General features: G+C 45.7%; 1 protein-coding gene across 3 annotated transcripts in view; it reads left to right on the top strand.

Annotated features, from left to right (window-relative positions):
- TMEM178B (transmembrane protein 178B) overlaps positions 1–10,928 on the top strand; it is a 437,233-nt gene that overhangs the window by 396,410 nt on the left and 29,895 nt on the right. Inside the window, exon 4 of one of the 3 annotated variants that reach the window (NM_001195278.2) lies at positions 63–9,907. The exons of the other annotated variants lie outside the window; for them this stretch is intronic. Within the exon in view, the coding sequence (NP_001182207.1) occupies positions 63–313 (251 nt within the window). The 3' untranslated portion in view covers positions 314–9,907. Of the gene's footprint in view, positions 1–62; positions 9,908–10,928 lie in introns of those variants that run through there. 3 annotated transcript variants of the gene reach the window in all.

The following is a 10,928-nucleotide window of genomic DNA, read 5'->3' on the forward strand; positions in this document are numbered from 1 at the left end:
CCCGCTCCTCTCCCCTTTCCTTCTCCATTTCCCCATCCTGTGTCTTTTCCCTTGTCCTCCAGGAACCTTCTGCATCATTTCACTGTGCACCTGTGTGGCCGGGATCAACTTTGAGCTGTCACGCTACCCACGCTACCTGTACGGACTCCCTGATGACATCAGCCATGGCTATGGCTGGTCCATGTTCTGTGCATGGGGGGGCCTGGGCCTCACACTCATCTCGGGATTCTTCTGTACCTTAGCCCCTTCTGTTCAACCTGTCCCGAGGACCAACTACCCTAAATCCAGACCCGAGAATGGGACAGTGTGCTAAAAAACAAACCCATACATACATATATATATATAAATATATATATATAATATACATATATAAAACAAAACAAAACTAAATCAAGACGATGCCAGTGCCAAGGTAGAGTTGAGTTGGCTCAGGCACCTGCATCTCGCCGGACTTTGTGTTGCCTCATCTCTGAGATGGGGAAAGTTTTTCCATCCTGTGGCTCTTCCATCAGTTCTTGACTTTTGGCTTCATGGTCTCTTGAAGACAGAGCAAACACCACCACTTGCGACCGCGTCTTGATCCCCATCACTGGCGAGGATGGGGTGGTGAAGGGACAGTGGAAGGGGTCTGAGGCAGCACAGATGTAGAGAAGGAAGTGCCACCCACTGGGTCAACGGGAGAGGACGCCACCCCTAACCAGTCATATCACAGGGTAACAAAGCCCTCAGTTCCTAGAATGTAACCAAATTATTGAGGCCATTTTCAGAATCACTTCTTCTCCTGCTCTTCCTGTTCGGACTTCCTTCCCAGCCCACCAGCAACACACAAGGAGTGGAAGAGAAAACAAACTGAGAAGGACGTTTTCTCTTTGCTGCCAAACTTTTGGACCATGTTTCATAGGTGGGAAGGGAAGAGAACATGCTGAGAGGCAAGATCTGCATCAATGAAAGGACGCTTCGGTGGATGCTCAGACAACCCAGTCTTACCTTCCAGCTGCCTTACACCCAGTGAAACAAGAGGCCACCCTGTCCCCAGCCGCACCTGCACTCCCTGGGCAGACTGGAGCCTTGGAGTCATGCTGTGATGTGTGTGTGTGGGTGTGCGTGCATGTGTACTTTGGGCGGTTTCCTTTTTTTCTTTTCTACCTTTTAAATGGAAATACTGCATTATGACTGTTGTCTCTCTTATCACTGTAGTGGTTTCATGGCCCCAGATAGAGGCCCAGAGACCTAGAAATTGTCATGAGGGACAGGCCTATAAGGGTGCCAATTCTGCAGCTACAGATCCCTGGAGTGGTGTGTGTGTGCGTGTGTGTGTGTGTGTGTGTGTGTGTGTGTGTGTGTGGTGGATGTTTCTTGAGCGTGGGGTTTTATTGTTTGTGTTGTGTTTTTTTAAATTGTTTCTGGTATAGCTGAAATTTCCAGAGGGCAGAACCAAGAACAAAGCCACTGGGCCAGAGGACCCCCGTGGTTCTCCACATTACAGCTCTGGGACTCTGCACGATTTAGTCCTCTAATTTTGGAAGTTCAAGACACAGCTGGGCACATAAGCCATGAGAGAAGAGGGGGAACACACAGTTCAGGAGAGAGAAGAAATGTTGCTCTGGTTGCTGTTGTACAAGAACATAAACCAACAAGACCTTCACTCCCCATTATAGAAGCTGTCCTTTGTCACTGGACATCTCCCCTTTCCCTAGGGGTGACCTCTGTACAAACGAAAGGAAGTGGGTCACATGCAGAGAGAGCACCTCCATTTCCCATGGGCTCAAGTTTGTATGATATTGTGTAAATTAATGCAGAACTCTTGACTCTTTCCATCCTCTTCCTTTCCCTCTTGATATTCAAGGCCATGAATCCCAAAATAACAGTCTTAGTGGCTAGCACCCAAACAGAGGTGGAATAAATCCACCCCAGTGTCTCGGGCTCATTTGAGCAAATTAGCACTGCAGGTGCTGGCAAGCAAAGTCAGCCAGAGAGTTGTGAACGCTGTAGGGGTGGGAGTCTGCTGGAGTGGGCTGGAGCCGCTCACAGTCATCTCAGTGAGCCTGCTGGTGCCCAGCAGCCCTGGGGAGGCCAGGTGAGAATCCCTGAGCTGGTGTAGCCATGGTCAACTGTGTAGCAGAGAATCCCCTTGTTTCATAAACAAATATGCTTTGGGAGCTTTGCCAGGCACTCAGCAGCCTTTCTTCCACTGCTGTGTAATCTGTTTCATTTACACGTCTTCCAACCCATCTTCCTACCACTCTCCTCCTTTTCTCACCTACTAACCACTTACCTTCTCTCTCTTCTATCTTCCACCCTCATCTGCTCCTTTGAACTGCGTGTATGTAATTCATATCTGGATATGATATGACATCTGATGTGCATGAATGGGGTTGAATGTGGATCTCTCTGTATGTGTATCTCTCTGGTGCATTTTGTGTACGTTTGTGTCAGTACACACCTGCACACAGGTGTGGGTGCCCTACTCAAGACTTCCTTACCGGGGACTCTGGTCAGCTTCTGCAAAAGGTCTCATGTGTGAGTTCCCTGTGTGTGGGTGTGCTGGGCGATAGGGTAAGGTGTGCAACGGGAAAAGTTGTTAGCTTCCAGTTGGGGTTCTAAGGATTATTTTTAAAACAAAGGATTTATTCTATGAGAAGGGAAATAATTTTCAGGAAAACCCAGTTTTTCAATTGGGCATTTTATTTCTAATTTTCTTTGAAAAGTTAGATTTCTCCCTTAAGGGGAAGGGCATACTTGGGCTTAAGGAAAAGTGAAGAAAAGTATCTCAGATTGAGAGGCCTTTTGTCTTCCTTCCAAGCGTCCTGAAGGGGCTCTGCCGAGGAAGGGACAGACAGGTTCACAAGCATCCATTTGGGGGAGAGGGCTTGTCTATGACCACACTGAAATTCCAGCTTTTTTCCAGTTGCAGGAGAGAGGGGAAAAATTCTAAATGGGGAAATTTGCTATGAACCATTTAAACTTTTTGTAAGTAATCATGTTTGAGGATGCTGGCTCACAGACCTATCATTATTTATATCCTCTTTTTAAAAAAAAATCCCATACTTTCAATGAATAGATTATCTGCTCTATCCAATTATTGTCTTTGTGACAGACATTTAGCAAAGCTTACTGCATCCCTTTGAAACCTTGAGAGTTCCTGAAATGTTAGAAAGCTCCCAGGAAAGACGTAAACAACCTGGGCTCAACTCACCAGCCCAGAGCAGGGGCTTTGAGTGACTTCTTTGATAGCAGGACCAGATAAATACGAACACACTTTGGGATCTGATCCTGCTGGGAAGCAAAAGACGCCCAGCCACATGACCAGGATAGAGGCCCCTTTCAGACGGCAAGTCCTGGCCAATGGGAGGACTTCTCAGGTGACCTTGATCCCTCTAGCATAAGGGCTTGACCACAGATTAAAACATGTGACTCCAACCAGTTACGGAAGCTTTCTGGCTGTGAGGTAGCTGAGGGAGATGAGGAGGAGGAAGAGAGGAGCCTTGACTTGTGAGGCTCTGTAGGTCAGACTCTGCTAACTCCAAATCAAAGTGGAACCCAACCTTATGAGGGCATTTAGGGTCAATGACCTCACTAAAGTCACCAGCCGCAACCCCAGGTCAAGTTCAAACTTCTTACTGGCATATGAACATGTATGTGCTTTGAGCTCCATGCAAGTCAACCTTGAGCCTGGGGCCCATTGCAACTTTTATTTCCTTCCCTACTCTACTACCTTGAGATTCAGGAAAGTGAGGTATTCTACCTAGAGAGAGGTCCCATATCTTTTTCTCCTTATTTTGGGAGTTACGGTTTCTTCTTCTGTTTCCGTTTCCTCTCTCTCTACTCACTCCTACTTTCTCCTGCATCAACTTTGGTCAATTAACATAGACAAGTGATTCATCTGTAGAGAGGCTCCTAGACTCCAAGCAGCCCCCTTCCTTGTTCATTGTGGCTGTAGGTTTTATAAGGAGGTCTGTGGCTCCCTGGCATCAAAATATGAAAAATAAAATCTGTGCCTGTTCCAGCTTCAATCCTCCTCCAAGCCTTAGCTTTTCAACAACCCTACCCTTTCAACTTCAGGGATCATGGAGTCACAGAGACTGGACAACTCCTCCAAATCTAGACAAAGACTTTCTTAAGCGCCCTGAGCCCAGGTGCATATCTTCCCATCAGGGATGAGTGGTCCCACCTAGCAATGCTTGCCTCTCCTGTGACAAGAGGGTAGGATATCCTAGGACTCTGAGACTGGGCCCTATATCTCAATATTCATCCACACTCATGATAAGATGCCGGAAATGAATGCACTGTGTGTAGCTGTCTTGATTTAGTGGGAGGATGTGCTGCTTAGGTCTCCAAAGATGCCCACCTGGGTCAAATTCAGAATAATGAACTCAGGTACATCACCCAGAGGCATTTAGAATGGACTCTCTCTTCACCTGGATTATGTGCTGAGTGTTAAGTGATTTTTCAAATATCTGGGGGAAGGAGTGGGAAGAGATACACTCTGGTCATCCTTTGGTGTGGTTTGTGGGGGATACTTGGTTGATTCTTGTAGTTAAAGTGAAGTTGCTTTTCTGAAAATGTTCCCTGTCTTCAGGGGACTTACCCATCCCAGGGGACACATCCATCCCAGGGGACACAGCCAGCCCTTTCCAGGGAAATACGATGTTTCTGAGTGAGAGGTGATTTCAGTGCAGATAGGAAGAGCTGGTGCACACCAGCAGGGTTGCCTTCCATGCCATCTTCCAGCTGGTGTGGGATAGACTAAGGGGGCAGATTTTTAAGAACCCCACCAGAGTTGACATACACACGTGATTCTCGTGTCTGTCTCTCAAAGCTCTCAATGTCTGGGGCTGTGTTTGCCCTCTTTTCATTGATGCTGCCATGATGCAAAATGTTTCTTAAACATTATTCCTGGTTCTTAGAATATGTGATTACTGAGTATTGGATTTCTTTCCTGAATAATAACTGCTCATTGTAGAAAATAAGAAAAATAAAATACAAAAAAGACTACAAGATTTTTCATAATCCAGTCACTCTGAGGCATCTACCGCGGGCCCAATCCAAATGGTCATGACCTCAAAACTTCCCCAATGAGTGCTTGTCTCTGGGTTGGCAGCTGGGGCCATGTGAGCAGTGTACACCACAGAACCGCACTGGTCTGCGTTGAGTTGACCCTGTGTTCCTGGCAGCAAGAGTGCAGGGCCCTGAGCCCCCAGAGATAGCAAAGAGGCCTAAAAGTTTAATGCCAGACCTTAGGGGCAGGATGGAGCAGGGCTAAAAGATGTCTCTTTGGGCCTGTCTGCCTGCTTTCCTTCCTTCCTTTTCTTTCCTTTTTTTTTTTGGTCAGTTGCCATCTCAATCTAATCATAGATGTAAGAATGCGGAAGCCAGAGTAACTCACTCATTAAGCTACACTTGTGTAACAGTTACTGTAAATTTCACTACAGCTCTGCACTGAAATGATTTGTGACTCTGGGCACTGTGTCTTCTCCATACTTGAACTTCCTCATCTACAAAATGAGGATAAGTGATAACACCTTACCTCATGGTATATTAAGGGTGACAAAGAAATTGCAAAGTGATTTGCAAACATGAAGTGTCATATGAGTTATGTATGTTCTAATTATCCCTCAGAAGACCCCCCGCTGGAATGGAATTCTCACATCAAGTGTCTGTGCCTCGCTGCTGAAGGATAACCCAGAGTGCAAGGTCATCTTTGTTGCTGAACAGGGCTGGACCTGTCGCACTTAAGCACACTTAAAGGATTCTATTCTTCATTCAGGTCCCCCAGAGAAATTGGCTCCTTATTTTTCTTTACCTATTCCTAGACTTCCTTTTGTCTAGAGCCAGTTTTGCAAAGGGCACTTTTATCCATCTCAGTTATTCCCAGAGGTGACAGAATGAGTAAACCATATGGGGCAAATAGCATATATGAGCTAAACCAGTTAACTGTTAACCAAGGCACATGGTCAATGCCTTAGTATTTTTTTTTTTAATTCTCCTAACGTTATTTCTAGCTGTACATTCCCAAAAGGAATGGGTGGAAGCAAATCAGATTCTGAAAGGTTTCAATGATCTTTCAAGTTTAGGATGAGACCAAGTCTCAAGGAGCTGGGATCTTCTTTCTCTTGTCAGTTGCTGAAGCCAGTAGCTTCGTCAAAAACATATGAATTCATATAAGGAAGCCCTTTAGATGGTACATTCACTAAGACGTGTCTGGGTGTGATCCTGTTTGGGAAAAACAGAATCCTAGGTTCTAAACAAGAAAAGAACGCCCTTCCCAAAGGGTCCGCACACTTTCTGCTTTGCAGCGGATCAAGTGTCCTTGTGAGGGTGAGACTTCCTTCAAGGGAAGGGAAGCCATTGCTCTCTCTGTAGATAGAGCCCAGCTGGTAACGGGGGAGCCACCCAACTGCAGGGGGGTGTATGTTCAGGTGTGAAAAACAGAAAACTGGGTCTGAACATGAAGAGTTGCACAGCAGTAGTTCGAAGAAGCTGGCATCTCTTTGGCAAACACCAACCTCAGCAAATGCAACTCCTACACTTCATTCCCAAGGACCAGGTGTTGCTCCTTAAGGAACTCTGTATCCCTCTCTCCTCTCCAGAACCCCATTCCTCCCACTGGCTGAGCTTTTCCTTTCCTTTCCGGGTCACCCATAGACCCTCTCCGTCTGTACCAGTGCGTCTGTGTTGTGAGCGTGACGAAGCCTTTCCTGTGAAGAGCTTTCATGAACTCATTCTCATACTCCTTCCCCATTTCCACCCATGGTGTGACTGTTTTGCTATTCAAGACTATCTGTAAAAATGTACAAATAAAAGTGAAAACTGAAAATAAAGGGGAGGGAGATTGAGATTAAACAAATGCAATGATGTAGCCCTTAGTTTTCTGAGGACTTCTGTGGACGGCCCTAAAATCCTGAGTTAGGGTGGGATATGAAGGGAGGGATACCATTGACACAGGAGGTTTTTTTCTGGTTGTTTCTCTCACAGTCATCAGTGTCTGCTTAGAACTCTCTGTTCTAAAGGTTTTTCCCTGTAAAGTAGAATGCACTTCCCCCAAAATAAAAGTAAATCAGCAATGTTTGAAGGGTCATGGCAAGGGTCATGACAAAGACCTGACTCTGGGGTGGCATGAGTGGCCCTGTCACCGGCTCACTCAGGGCCTTGGGGGAGTCTCATTACCTCACCTTGTCTCCACGTCTTCTCAGCCAAATGGGGATCAGGGGCTTCCAGGGCTCTGGGGGTGCGCAGTCCCCTTGTGTATTTTGCTGCTATTTCTAGAGAGACTTTGAGCCCTTGCTAGTGCGTGCTTACTGCATGGAGGTAAATTAGGAGATGTTTTCTCTCTGCTACTCCTGGCCTCTGCTTTCGCCCCTCAGAAAGTGACCTTGAGCTAGCAGCCAGTTTGCACTCAGAGTCCAGAGCCTTCTATCTACCGTTTCATTCTCAGATTCCTTTTCCCACCCACTTTGACGATCTCATTTTACTATCAGTCTCTACTGACTGAGCTTTGCTGCACTGGGCTGGGGTAGGAGAAAGAGCATCCAAGGAGATGATGTGTGAATTGCTTTGTAATTTATGACTCACCATATAAATGTGGCTTGCAGTGTCAGAAGCAGGGAGTCTGGCCAAGGGTTGCTACCAAATAAGACTGAAGATGGTGGAGGCAGTGGTGGCGTGGAGGCAGTAGGCAGAAGATGTGGGTTGGGAGCAGAGGTAAGATGAACGGAGCTTTGGGAAGGACAGATGGCAGAAGCACCAGAAAATCCTCAGCAAGGCAGCAGAGAAGGATCCTCAAAGCAGTAACCCTGAAGTAATAGGAAGTAGGAAAGAGGAGCAGGGATTAGGTAAATCTGCAGCATAAACAGCTGTCTCCCTGCAGGACTGAGAAGACCAGCTGCCCCAGAGAGGGGAGGCACGTCGAGCTTGGCCAGTGACCCAACCCATGATTAGAGGCACCTTCAATCCCAACTTTCCTCTCCTCTGCTGGGTCACAGTGATGGAACCAGCTTCAGGAAGGTAGTATAGACCAGCGTCATCCAATGGAACCATGATCCAAGCCACATATGCAATTTAAAATATTCTAGTAGCCACATTTTTTAAAGTCCAAAGAAACAGCTAAAATCAGTGAAATTAATTTTTAGACTACATTTTAACCTAACATGTCAAAAATAGTATCACTTCAGCATGGAATCAATATAAAAATTACTGGGATATTTTACATTCTTTTTTCCAAATGAAGTCTTCAAAATCCAATGTGATTTTCCTCTTAGAAAACATCTCAGTCTGGCCCAGCCCTATTTCCAGTGTTCAATAGCCACACCTGACTACTGGTTGCTGTATAGGACAGCACGGACTTAGGTTCTTCATTAGGAGACTGATGGGGGGGGTCCTTCCTGGTGGGTCACTCACTGCCATAGCTCTTGTCATAGCTGATGAAGGCAGGAGTGAGTCTTATTATGTTGGCCTAGAGTAGAAAGCACAGAGCTATGTCGAGGCTGCTGTCTCAGCCTCTGGAAGTTCTGCTTCACCTGCTTAGTAAGAGGAGATGACCACTCCTGTGGACTGCATGTCCCATCTGCCCCCAGAGGGTGTCGGCGCTGCCCCAGTCATGTCCCTTATGACCTGTCCAAGTCCTAGAGGCCAAAGCAGGTCATATTCTTCAGCTGCAGGAATGTCAGCTACTGCCTCCCACCCCTTAACCTGATCCCCTTATCATATAGTGGGGAAGGGGCAGGCAGGCCTTCTCTCTGTCAAGAACAAAGATCTCTACAACATTTCGTCACCTGGGCCAGTCACCTGCTAATATCATCTCACCAATATTTGGAGCTGTTTTCTGAATCCCTTAATTTTCTTAAATATTTATCTTAAAGTCAAATGCTATAAAGGAGATACCCTGGGAAGGGCAGTGGCCACAGGCAGACTGGGTCTCCTAGGAGGTGGTGGTGTTGGTGACAAGTTCTACTTGGACTGGGACTCAACCCACCATTGCCTACCTCTCTTCCCTGCCTGGAGACCTTCCTTAGGATTGAAGAAACCTCTTTTGTTTGTGAAAAAGATAGGTATCGAGATCTTAATGGAGAGAACAGAATAAAATGCAAGGAGCCAACCCCTGGGTATTCTCAAAGCATTTCAACGGTCAGTATAACAAGGTTTGATTGATTTAAAATATAACATTCTGAGCCCTGTGTTACTGAGCAAAAATGAGCTGATTTGGTGAGTATGTTTTATATATGGTCATTAGACAGGGACCATAACTGACAAAACTCTCAAACGCCTGGAGTGTTTATGGCCCACCAGATTATTGCTCAGTCAATATAAATTTATTTACCTTTATTTTAATTTGCATAGTGCTTTCTGATTGGTCAGACAAGGAGTGGTGTGTACTGCAGGATTCTAACAATGCCTCTGCCCTTGGAGGCAGCAATTCCTGTGGTTATTGGTGCTAAAATAAGATAAAATATTATGTTAATTTGTTCTGATATGATGTGAATAAATGTGTTGTTTAATCTTAACAAGAATGCTACATCTTATCAGATCTATTGTACTGTCTGTTCCTTCTCATAATTAATTAATTACAGGAAAGGCGATTCAAACCAGATCTTGAAACTATTGTGATGTTCTGAGAGGTAAATTTAACAGGGAAGTGGGAGGGGGGATGAAAAGGGAAATTGCCAGGTTCCTGTGACTTTGAAAGGACTGAGGAAGCAGAGAGCATTTGGGGACTTCACTGAAACTGACTGCATCTTGCAATTTTCTTTTTCGAATTGGCAGAAATATTGTATTTCCATTGATTGAAGAAAAACAAGTGTCTGGTAATTAATTAAATGACTTGTTCATGGAAAAAATAAATAATCTGTCAGTTGTGGAATGTAAACTGATTAAACAATTAAATAAAGAAGATTATGTTGTGTGTTTTAAAGGATTGTGTCTGCTTAGGGGTAGGGAGCAAGATGGGGGTGGGTGGAGGCTGCAGTGTTTGATGGTGAAGGGTATTTTTCCCTCAGGTTCTGTATAGAAAAAAAGTCAATTATTATGTAGATAACCAGCTGAAAACTTGAATGCAGAAGAAAATAGATAGCAAACATTTCAATCATGTGAAGGCCAAAGGTACATGCTTCGCATGTTGGGTGGAAGGAGAAAAAATGGAGAGGGATTCAGAAGAGAAAAAGAGGGAAACTGTTGTTCTTTTTTTCCTATTACTGGCATTAATAACTCTTTTTAAAAGACTTTATGAGATGCTGGAATGACTAATTACATTCTAACCCCTCAACCTGTTTCCCAGTTCCCAGTGAAGAGAGAAATTTCTCTCCTAGTCTTCATCAGCTTTGTCCCTAACTTTGAGTCACAGTTCCTTTCCACACATCTACCTCTTCAAAGGTTTGGGCTCACACCTGGGTGGGAGGCTAGGGGAGGAGGGAAGTGGACTGGAGAAGCAAGTGCTCTGTAAAGGGTGGTGTATCTCAGCCAGCATTTACAGTGAAAGAAACTGGCTGTGTCTGATATAAGTGGGAAAGTAATTTACTGATGAGACATGGGTAGCTGGAAGCCTGTAGGAAGGAAATCAAGAAGAAACGCGTGGCTGAGCAGCCAGAATCGCATCTCATGCTGATCTGGACCCTGCAGTCACCGCTGCTGGACTCTGGGCACCACAGCTCACCCGGCTGCTGCTACTGCCCTGAGGCCGTATGGCGCTGCTTCTGCCGCCACCTCCACCAGGATGAATCCCCAGGGCCCTTCCTCTCTCAGGCAGTAGCTCTGGTGTCAGAATCCCACATGGGTGCGCCATCTAAGGAGACTGAGAAAACAGGTTTAGGGTCTTTTAATCTTCTCTCTTGAGGGATGAGCCCTGCCTCCCACCAAGATGCATGGAATAGACAATTCCCCAAACCTAGATCTGGGCAGCCCGAAAGAAGAAATGTCCATTAGAGGTGGGATGGCTG

This window comes from Homo sapiens, chromosome 7 (genome assembly GCF_000001405.40).
Source record: "Homo sapiens chromosome 7, GRCh38.p14 Primary Assembly".
Taxonomy (NCBI): domain Eukaryota; kingdom Metazoa; phylum Chordata; class Mammalia; order Primates; family Hominidae; genus Homo; species Homo sapiens.